Here is a 15727-nt window from a genome sequence, read left to right as displayed (position 1 = left end):
GTTAACGAATACATCCTAAGATGAATGTGTCTTCTCTCATCATCCCATGCTTCCTTAGCAGTGTTTCAGTTATGGTTCAGCTTCTCACTATAGATCTACCTAAGGAAAGAAAATATATTGGTCATATCAACTTACACACACTACTGCATATGAACTCTAGTCTATAGATTAAAACAAATTGATAATTTTTATTTTAATGTTACGAATTTTGATTATAACTTTGCACACAGTTATCTCTTAGCTTAATGAATACAAATCTGATTTTGAGTGACAAACCTGTTCATGTTGTGCTCTTGAAATCAATTATCTGAGCTACCAGACCTGCAGACCTGAGCCTAGACAACAACAGATTAACCAAAATAGTGGCCCCGGGTGATCCTTTTGGGTAGATGGGATTTCATCATTTTTTACACATCTACATTGCTTTGTCTCACTTTTGAGTTTATAAAGAAATATTTAAGAAACCAGTCTCAAAAGATCTCCTTTAGGTTTCTTTCTCATTGGCACTCCGACTCCCCTCTAAACACATTCTCTTCCCCCACTGTCAATAAAGCAACTCTGAAACATTCAAAAGGTTAGGAATTTTCGGCTTACTTTGGAAATTTTAGGGTGATGTACACCTCAATGTGTTCTTCAATCATTTTGCTACATTGATCAGATCAACCTTATGTTATACTTATGAACAAAAAGATGTTTTCAGGGACTTTGGCCATATATTGTATTAAAATAAACATTATTATATAAAATTTCATACCATGAGCCGTGGATTATTTCAGATAAATAATCCTGTTTTAAAACTATTTATCTTTTCAAGATTCCAGAACTAAATTCTGTAGCACAATGAGGTTTTTTTTAGCATAATGGAGATAAATATTGAATGTAAATAATCCAATGTTGTCAATGTCCATTTCCCCACTTCTAAATAATAAAGCATTTTTCATTTAAATATAAATAATTCTATGACAAATTCCTCTTGGTGCTTATAACAAGGAAAAAAATCCCTCCTCTTGCCTTAGTGCATTTCCTTTAGGTAATAAAAATCCTAAAATGCTTCACATGAAATTTAGAACTTGGTTGCTATAGCTTGCATTTTCTCATATAATATTCCCATTGATCTGAAAGTTCTTTTATTTGTCGGTCTGTCTTATTGTATGTGTGTGTTTTTTTTTCAGTTATTTGAATGATTTTTTTTGTACGTGTATTTATTGTAACCTCCCTCAAAACACTTTCAGAAAGTAGAAAACAAACTATAATCATTTCCTGCCTTAGGACAAATATAAGATAGTATGTTTCATCGCCTATATATATTTAAGGTGTGCTACATGATATACCCTATTAATAACTGTTTTAACATTATTATATATATATATATTATAAAAACATGGTCACTTTTTTCCTTTTAGAGGCTGTTACGATGTAAGTTATGGATTCCTTCCATTTAAACTGCCATAATTGAATTGTGATCTATTGTTTTCTCTTCTCCAAGGGGACTTCATACTCATTAGTTACGTCCTTAAGATATTTTGCTAGATCGGACATGGGGGAGACATTTATTAAACTAATGAAAATAAAAGTTCACAGACAACCTTGAAATGCCAAATATCTGCTAACAAAAAGTCTACCAGCAAACAAATACATAAGAAAAACAGGGATGGTTACGTGAAGATACTAGGCAGCTAAGTGTAACAAAGTAAAGGGCTTGACTACCATGGTAATGATCTGATCACAGCACCTTGGCAGTGGAAACTGTGTTTTATGATCAAGAAATTGAATCTCCAGCCAAATCTTGGTTATCAGGAAACAGCGGCAGAATGGAGAAAACATTTTATTTATACCTGAAATAATCCCCAGCCTTCTGATGACACGTTAACCTGATATTTATCATAAGCTAAACTGAGAGTATATGAACTAAGAAAGGATTCTCTAACTTGTCTACACGATAGGGATCATTTCCTTTCCTTGAAACCTGGAGATGAAATCCTGTGTGTGTGGGATGTAATGAAATCTCACTGGATTCTGAACAGAAAAGGGAGGATTTAGTGATCTTCATTTAAGCTCTTGATCCATCAGGTTTTGCCAGCCAACCGAAGAGAAGATTAAATGGCAAAAGAAACTGATTTAGAGATCTACCAAGTTAAGGCTTTGGGAACTTGCCCTAACTGGCCCAATACCTAAAGTTTGAACCCTGGAGTTACATAAAGATTAAACATGACCCCAAAGATTGTGTTAGTCCTTCAGTCACATGAGGATGCATGTATTGGTAAATATGATAGTTCTGAACTATTCTATGTAGTAATACATTAAGAACTCTGATTTTGTTTCAAAATACATTGGCCCAAATCATAGACAACTCTCATTGTTTCATCTGGAAAACCAGCTCAACTAAGAAGGACAAAAGAAAGGGAGATGGCATTTAGTGAGTATCCACTACATGTTAGCATTGTTGCTATTAGTTTTCAGATACTCTACTTACTTTAAAACTCTGACTGTCTCTAAGTGGACAGTACTATTGATTCAAGATAACAGTGGTAACTGAAAGTGCATGGAAATGAAGTAAACTACCTATGTTCTGTTTTGTCCTACCTGTACCCACTTCCAACCTAAATTTCACCCAGACGTCTAAAGTCATCACATAACATTCTTGCTCCTCTCTGCCAAACAAATTGAATAATATATACAAACTACATAAGCATGTGTAGATTTTTAATTAGCATCGCACTATATTTATAAAATGGTTTAAAATTTGGAATCTTTAATAGTGGGTCTATCCAGTAATAAAATAAGTCACTCTAGGTTTATTTTTAATGTTCTGCTGTAGTGTTCAAAAGATTTTGGTAGCAAAATAAGCTATAAATTTAACATTTAAATTTTAATTACCCAACTTTCTGAATACTCCCATAATTCTTTAAATGTTTGGTTTTTGTCTGTTTTGTGGAATTTTTCATGTATAGAGCCATATCATGTACAAATGAAGATGTATTTGTAACCTTTTCAGTATTTATTACTCTTATTTTTCCTTGTTTGTTTTTGCTAGCATTTCCAAAATGTACATAAATAATAATATTTTAGATAGCTCTCTCTTTCTCCAAATTTAATAGAAACGCTTCTGGTCTTTTATCATTTAGTGTGTGTATGTACCTGTGTGTGTACGCATGTGTATATTAAGTTGAAGAAAACATACATGTGTTGAGGATTAAGGAGATATCTTTATGTTCCTCTTTTAGTAAAAAATTTTATTATCAGGAATGAATATTTAAAGTTTATCAAATGCATTATCAACTTCTATCAAAATTACCTTTTAATTATTTTGACATAATGAAATTCTCATATTAACCATTCTTGTAATTGTAGTGTAAATACCAGTTTGTCTTAAACCTTTATTCTTTTAATGTAATTCTAGATTATATTGGCTAATATTTTATATGGAATTTATATGTAACCATAAAGAAGCAATATTCAGTTGTTTTGGTTTGAATAATATAACTGTATTGTAGCTTCATATAAACATCTTTTATGTTTTTCTGCATTCTTTTTTTTTTTTTTTTTTGAGACCAAGTCTCCCTCTGTTACCCAGGCTGGAGTGCAGTGGCACGATCTCGGTTCACTGCAAGCTCCACCTCCCGGGTTCACACCATTCTCCTGCCTCAGCCTCCTGAGCAGCTGGGACTACAGGCGCACGCCACCACGCCCGGCTAATTTTTTTTATTTTTAGTAGAGACGGGGTTTCACTGTGTTAGCCAGGGTGGTCTCAAACTCCTGACTTCGTGATCCGCCCACCTCGGCCTCCCAAAGTGCTGGGATTACAGGTGTGAGCCACCACGCCCGGCCTTTTTCTGCATTCTTTATGATTTGAAGAGTTAATGCCATAAAATCTATTCCCAATAATTTGAATGAAATGATATGAAAAACAGCAGTATAGGTTTTGACAGAGTAGTTCCTTTGACCACAATCTCTAATTCTTCCAGAGTTAAGTGGTTTATTGTGGCTTTTTAACTGTACTTGAGTCAAATTCAGGATTTTATATAACACTGGAAAAGCTATTAGCGCAGAGTTACAGAAAATAATCTCCTATAATCCTTTCATTTTTGCGTGAATTTGTTATTTTCCACTTTCTCATATCTAATTTTGCGTAACTATTTATCAAAAGACTACCTCTTAGATTTATCTGTCAATTGCTCTTCTCTTTTCATTTATTACTTCCTAAAAAAAATCAGTTTCAGCTTATTTCATTTAAGATATTTCTAGACTTCTTTATTTTTGTCATGTATCAACCAGAGAAGCAGAACCAGTAGGGTAGGTATGTATAAGATAGGCATATGTAAGATAAGTATACATAAGAGATATAGACATAGATATATTAGAGAGAGAGATTGATCTTATACAAAGAAAATGATTGTGTTGGCTAGCTAAGGAAGTCCAATATCTGTAAGGCAGGAAGTCAGGAAGGAATTATCATAAACATGTTGGGGCCGGTTGCGGTGGCTCTCGCCTGTAATCCCAGCACTTTGGGAGGCCAAGGCAGGTGGATCACGAGGTCAGGAGTTCAAGACGAACCTGGCTAACACGGTGAAACCCCGTCTCTACTAATAATACAAAAACATTAGCCGGGCGTGGTGGCAGGTGCCTGTAATCCCAGCTATTCAGGAGGCTGAGGCAGAGAATTGCTTGAACCCAGGAGGCAGAGGTTGCAGTGAACCAAGATCACACCATTGCACTCCAGCCTGGGCGACAAAGCGAAATACCGTCTAAAAAAAAAAAAAACATGTTGGAACCCATGGACATGGGTCAAAACTGTGCCCACAGGCAGTCAGGAAGAGACAATTATGAAAAAGACAAAAGTTGTCCATGGCACAGGTGGACACTACTGTACACAGGAAGAATATCTTCTCTGTCACAGGAAAGCCTCAGCCCTGCTTTTAGACCTTCTAACTGATTAGGTCAGGCTCAACCTGATTGAAAGTCAATTAATTAGAGTTTAATTACATTACAAAATCCCTTCACAGCAATACCTGGATGAGTGTTTGAATAACTGGGGACAGTAGCCTAGTCAAGTTCACATATCAAAAAAGCTGTCAAACATATATTTCTCTGTGTACCCTATTTTCCTTTCCAATGATTTCTAAAGTAAACTGTCTTTGACATTGGACGTTGCTACCTTTATAAATGAAAATATCTTACTCAAACTTATTTTCCTCAGTTAATTTCTAAAATGAAACCCTGACTATTAATTTCTTCCTCGCAATTTGTGATAGCATAACTCTGGTTTTTGCTGATCCCTCTTCAATTAACTTTCTCTGATATTTGGGGTAAAAGAAATTTGGCAGTGGATTAAAGATTTAAATCTAAGACCTCAAACTATGAAACTACTACAAGAAAACATCAGGGAACCTCTCCAGAACATTGGTCTGGGCAAAAATTTCTTGAGTAAAACCCCACAAGCACAGGCAATCAAAACAAAAATAGACCAATGGGATGATATCAAGTTAAAAACTTCTGCACAGTAAAGGAAACCATCAACAAAGTGAAGAGACAACCCACAGAATGGGAAAAATATTTGCAAACTACCGATCTGACAAGAAATTAGTAGAAATATTAATAATATTAATATATATTAATAACTAGAATATATAAGGAGCTCAAACAACCCTACAGGAAAAAAAATCTAATAATCTAATTTCTAAAATGGGCAAAGGATCTGAATAGACATTTCTCAAAAGAATACATACAAGCATACGAAAAGATGGCCAACAGGCATAGGAAAAGGTACTCAATATCATTGATCATCAGAGAAATATATATCAAAATTACAATGAGATATCATCTCACCCCCATTAAAATGGCTTATATCCAAAAGACAGGCAATAACAAATGCTGGCGAGGATGTGGAGGGAAGGGAAGCCTTACATGCTGTTGGTGGGGATGTAAATCAGTACAACCACTATGGAGAACAATCTGGAGGTTACTCAAAAAACTAAGAATGTAGTTACCATATGATGCAGCAATTGCACTGCTGGGTATATAACTAAAAGAAAGGAAATCAGTATATTGAAGAGATATCTGCACTCCCATATTTTTTGCAGCACTGTTTACAATAACCAAAATCTGGAAGCAACCTAAGTGCCCATCAACAGATGAATGGATAAGGAAAATGTGGTACATATCCACAATGGAGTACTATTCCACCACAAAAAAGAATGATATCCTCTCATTTGCAACAACATGGATGGGACTGGAGGTTATTATGCTAAGTGAAATAAGCCAGGCACAAAAGGATAAGCATGTTCTCACTTATTTATGGGATCTAAAAATCAAAACAACTGAACTCATGAAGATAGAGAATAGAGAGATAGTTACCAGAGACTGGGAAGGGTATTGGGGGTATGGGGGGAGGTGAGGATGGTTAATCAGTACAATAAGTAGTTAGAAAGAATAAGGCCTAGTATTTTATAACAGAACAAAGGGGCTATATTCAATAGTAATTTAATTGTGCATTAAAAAATAACTAAAAGGGTGTAATTGGATTGTTTGTAACACAAAGAATAAATGCTTCAGGGGATGGATACCCCATTTTCCATGATGTGATTACTACGCATTGCATGTCTGTATCAAAACATCTCATGTACCCCATAAATATATACACCTACTATGTACCCACAATTTTTTTAAAAAAGAAATTTGTCATCTAATTTCTGGGTCATACCTTTCTGCAAATAGATGTTCTCTTATCTCCTATTTCTACCGTCCTCAGCTCTGCTTTGGGTTTGGAAAGCCAAACTCACCAGAGATCTGGTGCCTGCAAGGTTGGACTTTCCTTGTCTTATAAAAACAAGTTTAATGTGTATAACTAAGAGTTCATAATAGTTTGAAATAATATAGGGGAATATAAGCCAGCATAGAGCTGAAAATATCTTAACATTACTGTTCACAAAGGCCATTAATTCATCTAATCATAAAAATTTTTCCTAGTCCCTGCCAGGTGAAACTTCTGGCATATGTGTGTGTGTGTGTGTGTGTGTGTGTGTACATATATATTACATCTACGTATATAATTTATGTATATGAATCATATATATACATATATCATAATCAGGCAGAATAAATTTTCCATCTGCTTGTACTTTATTACATATAATGATTCAACTCAATTTGGTCTTACATTTCTCCATAATAAGGGCAATTATATAATTTTAAAATTAACAAATTTTAAACATAACAAAATCATTTGCACTAACAACAATTTGTACCTGAACCCCATGCCCAAAGGAGAAGGGATAAGGCCAATTTGTGTTTCCTGTTTCTTTTACTATGTGAATTTATTTACTGGGATTTTGGTTCTAGTCCACTAGAATCAAATTATAATTATGCATACATAATGTAGCTTTTGTTTCAGGAATTATAATCTGCATATTATCTTCTGTAATAGCATTAATCAAAATTACTTAAACATCCCTTTATTTACATGGATAAGATTTGCATTGCAACTTCTTTTGCATATACTTCCCTGCTTTTCTTGTTTATACAAGAAGAGTTTTCTGGACTAGTGCAAGGATGGTAAATTTCCAAGTCTCTTGTTTTTGAGAATTTGTCATCTTGTTTGTAAAAGGCAGTTTAGTTAAATTTAGGATTGCAGTGGGATATATTTCTCCCTGGAAAAGTACTAGATAGGAGTTCCAGGAGCAAAGAGTACATGAGGAGCAGCCACTGTTCGTGCTGGGGCTCAGGGGCACTATCTAGTCATTATCTAGCTCTCATGCAATGATCCCAGAAGAGTAGAAGCCAACCAAAAATCCCCTATGGGGAAACATGGTCCTTGCAACACAAGCCTGATGAGGCACAGGTGGCCAGTGGTCCTTCAGGCTAATTTACAGCCCTCCAGATGCCGACCCAGATCCTTAGGGGCACCAGCATGACCAAGAACTGGTGTAGCGAAGGCCTTGGAAGCATCAGACTGTTTACCTAAGACAGCCTAAAAGAACCCAGGGCCCTGGCAGCAATCATCTCACCCGTACGAAGGGCCTTGGGGGACCCTTTCCGTGAACCCAGAGCTATCAGCAGAACTAGCCCGTTTGGCCTGGGTCCATCTCACGCTCAGAATCCAGGACTCTTTCAGACTTGTACCTGCCACTTCAGTCGTATCTGAGAGCACTTCCGGACACTTTCTGTCCTGGCGCTGGGGGCCTAAGAGCCCTTTCTGAAACCAGACTGCACGCGCATTGGTTTCCAGGGGTGCCTTACAGGTTATAACCTGCTCCTTTCCGTGGGTAACAGGGATCTACTATCATCCTTCCAGAGTTGGGGGGAGGGGGAGGCGGGGGCTTAGGGAACGCATTTGGTCTTAATTCTACCCGGCTAGTACCCTGGGGAACCTTCTGTCCTCCAAACTTCCCACCAGCTAGGGTTCCGGGTTGCCTCCTACCACAAGACGGCGCGAGCACTGGGGAACTGAGAAGTTCTGCAACCCGCCGGCCCGCCAGCGATGTAAAGAACATTTCCAGTACCGATAGTGGCTTCTTGCAGAGGAAATATGATCCTTTCAGAACCTTCGGGGTCATCCAGCAATCTAGGGAATACTGAGCCCACTAGGCCACCGTCTCTCTTTCACACAGGTGCCCTGGAATCTTCCGGTGACCAGTTAGCCATCTCCCCAGGGTTCCGGGGATCCCTAACACCCCCCCCCGACAGTCCTCATGCGGTGGAACCCTGGGCTCCTTTTAGGCTTTAAGTAGCACGAGTCCTTTCAGTTTGAGTCTATTTCGCTTTCTTAGACCCTGGGACTTTTCCAGATAACATACCTGCTACCGTATTGGGGCGGCGAGGAGGGCACTGTTGGATAATATCTACCCAGGAACTGCTGCCCTGGGAACCTTTTTTTTTGTGACCAGAATGCCCACGACATGAGATAACAAGGGACCCTAACCAGCTTTTGTGCAGCGGAATATATGGCACCACTGGCAACCAAACTTCTAGCATGTTGCTGCCACGGGGCGCCTTTTGGCAGCCGTACTCCGTGACACTGATGTCAAGAGGTCCCTTCCGGCCCTAAAAGTTTCTGAGATCGTTCCTGCCTACAGTCCGCAGACATGCTTGGTACCTGGTGTTTTTCTGCTCGTAAATTCTTCTAATGTAGAAACCTGTGCAAGTTCGGTGAAAGTACAGACCTCACACTGGGATATTGCGGGGACTTTGCGATCAGAAATTGGAGCAATTTTGGCCACACTCTGTACTCGTACATTCCTTCCTTTTCCCTTACGCCCCCACCCCCAACCCCTGTCCCCAGTGTGGGCGCTCAGAGGAACCTTCTGACCACTGACATGGTCCCTTGCTAGGCTTCCAGGGCCCCTTTTGGCCCGGAAGCATCTGGGTTGCCTGGAAAACAGAGGTTCGTAGGCCACTGGCCTGCCTCTATGATGCAGAATCCAGAACCCTTCCAGTTACCAGGCAGGCTTGATGCTAGAAAAAAAATCTATGCCATGTCCAATCTTCATTGCCTGTATGCAATTGAATCTGTAACTCTTTTGATCACATACCTGCCCACGTGCTGGTGTTCCTGGAGACTTTCTGAACAGCAACTGGCCCAGTCCCTAGGTTCCGTGCATCCTTATGGTGCCAGTGTGACTGTGAGCTGGGGCATCTTGTACCCTTGCACCCCTCACCTCCCTACAGGCTTCAGAACCCAGAGCCCACTGGACGTTGTGTCCATCCCCACCTCTAGGTCTCTGTCCATTATTCTGGACTTACCCTGCCTGGACACTGGCACCCCAGGAGCACTTCCAGATACATTCTGCACTGGTGCTGATGCCATGTAGGCCCTTTCTGAGACCAGGCTGTCTGCCCAGTGCGTTCCAAGATAGCCCTTATGGGCACTAGCCTACATCCATGCCATGGATCACAATTCCCTAAAGGCAGTGGTATAGTTTGGATATTTGTCCCCACCCAAATCTCATGTTGAAATGTATTCCCCAATTTGGAGGTGGGCCTGGTGGGAGGTATTTGGATCAAAGGGGCATATCCTTCATAAATGGGCCATCCCCTTGATGTTAAGTGAGCTGTGGCCCCGATTTCACAGAGTTGGTCCTTTAAAAGTGTGTGACACCTTCCCTCCACTCTCTTTCTCTTTTACTCTTGCTTTCACCATGTGATGTGCCTGCTCCCCCTTTGTCTTCTGCCATAATTGGAAGCTTCTTGAAACCTCCTCAGAAGCAGTTGCCACTATGCTTCCTGTACATCCTGCAGAACTGTGAGTCAATTAAGCCTCTTTCCTTATAAACTACCCAGTCTCAGGTATTTCTTTATAGCGGTGCCAGGACGGCCTAATACAAGAAGACATCCATCCAGCACTCTAGTACTGGGACCCCTTTTCTCCACTGCCCCTCTACCAGGGCATTGCCTCAAAACCATCTGGCCACTAGACTTCTCACCAGCTAGGGTTTTTAGATTCCTGCTGTCGCGTATCCTGTGTCTCTGGGGAAATGAGAGTTATCATATGATCCACCTGCCTTCCTGTGGTGAAAGGAGAGCATTTGTATTATTTATATTTATATTTAGGGTACTGACTTAGGACAGGGAAGAAGTGAGTTCTTCAGGCCTTGAGCTAGCTGCAATTTCAGGAATTATGAGCACTAGCAGCCATCTGCCCCTCTTGTGGCTGCCCCAGGGAAAGGACAGGCCTTTGGGGAGAGGTTTGGGGAAGGAAACCTATGGCCCTTCCAGTCCTGTGACCCCATTTGCAGTGGTACCAAGAATCCCTGTGGACCTTCCCATCACCCTCTGGGCTAATGTCTATGGTTCCCTGTGTCCTTACAGTCTGTAGACTGGTTGCCCATCAGCTGGGGAACAATGTATACTTGCGACCATCATACTTTTTTTAGGCTGTGGAATCTAGACACCTGGGCATTTGTCCATCTCCGTTCTGACATTCAGGATATTTAGGATTCTTTTGAACACGTGCCATCCAGGACACTGCTGCCCTGTAGAATCTTTATGAAGCCAGGCTGCCTTCACACTGGGTTCCAGGAGAGCACTTATGGGCACTTACCTGCACCCTTGTGTGGAACACAGGGTCTTGTTAGTGACCATCCTTTCAGAACCACTTCCCTACCATACCTCCCTCTTTGTGGTACCCTGGGGAACCTTCTGGTTATCATACTTCTGCCAGCTAGGGTTCCAGGTTTCTTGTTGGCCTCCAGCCCCTAGGGGTGAACAACCTACCTGCATGAGCTGGAAAGAAGCACATTTTTGGTCACAGCACTTTCATCGGGCAAGTGAACCATAAGCTCTTCTTGCCTTTGGCCAAGCTTCAAGTTCAGAAATTATGACCACTCTCGGCCACTGTCTGTGCCTTGCAAATACCCCTAAGAATCTTCCTATCCATAGTCTGACTGCTCACCAGGGTTCTGGTGATCCTTTAGTCCCTACCACCATCCTTCCCCCGGTGCGTATATCCTGGTGAATCTGACCACAGATGTGCCCCTTCATTTAGGGTTCCAGTGCTCTTTCTGGCCCCATTATCTCATGTACCTCAGAAACAGAGGTTCTTTGGCCATCAACCCACCTGAATGATTCAGACTCCAGAATCCTTTTGATCACTGGACAGGCCAGGGGAACTTATGTTTCTTCTGCTCCTCAGCTAGTCCATGTATGGAATTGAGGCTGAAATCATTTCAGTCACTGGACTACCCACATGTTAATGTCCTTGGGAAGACTAAGTTTCTTTTGTGACAAGTCTGCCTTCCTTTGGTGGAAGAAGAGCATTTACCATCGGGCCACTGGCATTTTGCGGGAGAACCACGAGTCCTTTAGGCACTGAGTGAATTCACAATCTCAGGAATCACGATTTTTTCAGCTACTGTCTGTCCCTCTTGTGGGTGTCCCCAGGGAAGCTTCCAGCCACCAATCTCTGCTCTCGCCAGCGTTCCAGGGATCCTTCATGTCCTCATACAATCCTTTTAGGGTGGAAACGGGGGCTTCTCCTACTAGGGCCATCAGCAGGACTAGGCCTTTCAACCTGGGTCCATCTCAACCTCTTACACCGCAGGATCCTTTTGGACATATGCCAGCTCCTTTTGTGGTGCCAGGGGCAGGGACAGAGGACTTCGGGACACCATCTGCCCCAGCGCTGCTACTTTGGGAAATCTTTTTGCGTCTAGACTGACTGTGAACTGGGGTCCTATGGGCCACAGCAAGATCACATACTATGGAATATGTGGCCCTAATTGAAAATCATGGTAACAAGACTCTAGAGATCGGGGACCCCTTTTGGCACCTTTACTTCATGGTGTTAGTGACTTCAGGGCCTTTCTGGCCATAACGTTTCTGGGTTCTTCCCTGCCTGGCCATGCTTGGGTTCTGAGAGGTTTTTGGTCATGAGTTTTCCTGCCTGCTGTTGGAACTGGAGCAAGTTTAGTCACCCTATACACCTCATAGTGGGGAAGCCTTGGTACTCTGCTTTCACGGATAAGTCATTTCGGCCACTGTCCTTTTCCCCTACTAAGCTAACCGTGTGGGTACCCTGGGGAAATGTCTGATCCCCTATGTGGGCCCTGCTGGGGTTCTGTAGCACCTTCTGACCCAGAGTCATCAGAGTTTCCTTGGAATCAAAGTTTCTTCAGCCACCAGCCTGTCTGCATAATGTAGAATCCAGAATTCTTTCCACTTACTGGGCAGGCCTAGCATCAAGATCCTAATGGTCTTTCCTGTCCTACCTTACACTGCTTGTGATGGAACCAAGGTTTCTTTTGGTATAGTTCTTTCCCACTCATTAGTGTCCCTGGGGACCTTTTTATAGCCATCTGGGCCTGCCACTATGGTTCTGTGTGTCCTTATGTCCCCTGTGCTCACCCCAACACTGCGAACTGGGAAATTCAGTCCCCTTAGGCATCATATCCATCCCCATTCCGACCTATATGAACCCATGGGCTCTTCTTCTGTACATGTGCTGTTTAGGGAACTGGCACTCCAGGTCCTTTCTGGGACCAGATTGCCTGCACACTAGGTTCAGGAGAGCCCTTACGGGCACTAGCCTTCACTTGTACAGTAGAACACAGGGCCTTATTTGCAACCATCCATCCTGAACCCTGGGACACAGGGGCCTCTTTTTGCAATCACATCTCCATCTTTGGAGTGCCCTGGGGAACCTCCATCATATTTCTTGCCAACTATGGTCCCAGGTTTCCTGTCAGCCCTTAGCTGTGTATGCCCTCGGTAACCAAGGGTTCTTTAGGGACCAGCCTGCCCATCCTAGGTGGAAAAGAGACTATTTGGTCACAGCCTTACCATCTTGCAAGGGAACCATGAACTCTTTGCGCCTTCAGGCAGACCAAAAGTTCAGGAATCATGATCCCTCTTGACCACCATCTGTCCCTCACGAGTGTGCCCTGGGGAATCCTCCTATCAACAGTCTGACCTCCTGCTAAAGTTCTGGTGATTGTTCAGGGCCCCACACAGTTAATCTTTTGGTGTGAATAACCTGGTGAATCTTCCCTCATTAGGATTTCGGGACTCCTTCCTGTCACAAGTCATTGAGCGTGCTTGGGAAGGTTCTTTAGCCACCAGCCTGCCTGCACAAGTCAGAATCCAAAATATTTCTGGCCTCTGGCAGGCCTCGCACTGGCAAGCCATTGATTCTTTCTGCTTTCAACTACCCCATGTGCAATGAATCCTAGAACTCTTTCAGTCGCTTCCCTCCCCACGTTAGTGTGCCTGGGGAACTTTAGAACACCAGCTGTCCTGGCCCCTGGAATTCCACATGTCCTAATGGCTTCTAGACTGCCTGAAGAATTGGGGAACCACATACCCTCTGATCATCAATCACCCTTTCTATAGGTCTGGGAACACAGACCCCTTTGGACCATCCCTACCTCTCTTGTGTACCCTTCTGACCATCACTTTCCCTCACATGCTGTGGATCTGTGCCATTTGGCATCCAGTCATCCTGAACTCTAGGACCCTGGGTGTTTCTTCGTACCTGTACCAGCTAGGGCGCTGGCACCCCAGAATCACTTCCAGAAACATTCTGCCTTGGCGCTGCTGCCCTCTGTACCCTGTGACCAGACTGCCTCCACATTGGGTGCCAGGGTAGCCCTAATAACCTGCTCCCATGTGGTGGAATACGGGGCCCTATTGACAAACATCCATTCAGAACGCAGATGCACAGGCCTCTTTTTACCAGTGCATCTCCATCTGGGATGTGCCCTGCAGAAACTTCCTAGTCACCATATTTCCTGCTCCTTAGAGTTCTGGCTTTCCTTGTGGCTCACAGGTTGCCTGCATGCTAGGGTACTGAAAGCTCTTTGCCAATTTTTCCTCTGCATGCTGTGGAAACAAGAGCACATTTAGTTATATTACTGGCCTCCAGATAGGAAACTATGACTTCTACATGCTCTCAGTTAGCTATCAAGCTGAGAATGCAAAAGCCATTTTGTTCACCATCCATCCATGGAGCTGGTGCCCTAGAGAAACTTCTGACCAACAGTCAGCCTGCCCCCTAGGATTCCAATTATTTTTCCCTGGCTGTCTTTGTGTTGGTGATATGAGGGTTCATAGGCTGTCCAATCTGCTGTGGAATCCACAACCTTTTGGGCATCACTCCATCTCATCCTGTGCTACCTTGGTGCCATTCTGGACACTTGCTTGGCACAATGCTGGTGACCAAATTTTTTGTGCCTCCATAGCACAGGAGGAGGCTGGTGTTCATAAGTGCACCTAGAAACCTATTGTGAGGGCTATCTGGTCACCAAAAGGGCCCCAAAAGGACCTTGCAGCAGTGCATGGGCAGAAGTTTCCGGAAGAGCCCTGGGGAGGCAGAGGGTGGGATGATGCAAAACTGGAAGAGTTCCATATCAGACGGGATGGCTAATAGCCAATGATCCCTGTTTCCAAACACACAGGATTTAGTAAGGGGCAGAACATCTAAATACAGTTTGCCCATCTACTGGTGTCCTGATGCCCCTTCAGCAAGAGGACTACCCACATTCTGGTAGTATGGGGGCCTTTATAGGCACTAGCCTGCTTCTGTGCTGTGAAATATTTTTCCAATTGGCAGCCAGCTGTTGAGCACACTGATGCCCCTTTTGGCCACCATACTCCTAATACTCCTGCTCAGGGGAAACTTTCAGGCAGCCACTTCCCATCGGCATGCTATCCAGGGGTCATTTCAGCTCCGGTTGAGTCTATACACTGCAGAACCAAAGGTTATTCGGCCATTAGTCTTCCAGTGGGATGAAACCAGAATCCTTTTGGTCATTGAATAGGCCTTGTGCCTTTCCTTTCGATGGCCTTTTCCATCCTTAACTAGCCAGTGTGCAATGAAAATTAGTACCCTTTTAGCCACTGACATCCCTTCATTAACATCCTTGTGGAACTATCAAATACCAGCCAGCCTGCTCCATAGCATCTATGGGTCCTTTTAGGTACAAGTCTGTTTGTACTTAGTTTCTGCTGGGAGTTTGGATTGTAACAAACCAAGTACTCTTCTGACTAGCACCCTGCCTGCTGTTGAACTGAGAGTCCTTTCTTCCTCAGTCTATTCTACCTTCTTCAGATTTGAGACTCTTAACTGACACGTGGCTTGCAGGGTGTTGGCAGAGCACTTCCAGTCTAAGTTTGTCCCCGCATTGGTGCCCCGGATGCCTTTTTGGTGACAAGACTGCCCATTCACAGGGGTCTTAGGGACCCTTATGGGCACTAGCCTGTTCCTGTGCTGTAAAATGTAGGACCCCATTGACAACCA

General features: G+C 42.7%; 1 long non-coding RNA gene across 1 annotated transcript in view; it reads right to left on the bottom strand.

The window, feature by feature from the left end:
- The window catches only part of LOC105373151 (uncharacterized), a 67568-nt gene continuing 51841 nt past the window's right edge, over window positions 1-15727 (bottom strand). Inside the window, exon 4 of the long non-coding RNA XR_950539.2 lies at window positions 1-99. This is a non-coding gene — a long non-coding RNA (uncharacterized LOC105373151). The remainder of the gene's footprint in view (window positions 100-15727) is intronic.

The sequence above is a fragment of the Homo sapiens genome, chromosome X (genome assembly GCF_000001405.40).
Source record: "Homo sapiens chromosome X, GRCh38.p14 Primary Assembly".
Taxonomy (NCBI): Eukaryota; Metazoa; Chordata; class Mammalia; order Primates; family Hominidae; genus Homo; species Homo sapiens.
This window is presented reverse-complemented; position numbering and strand designations above follow the sequence as displayed.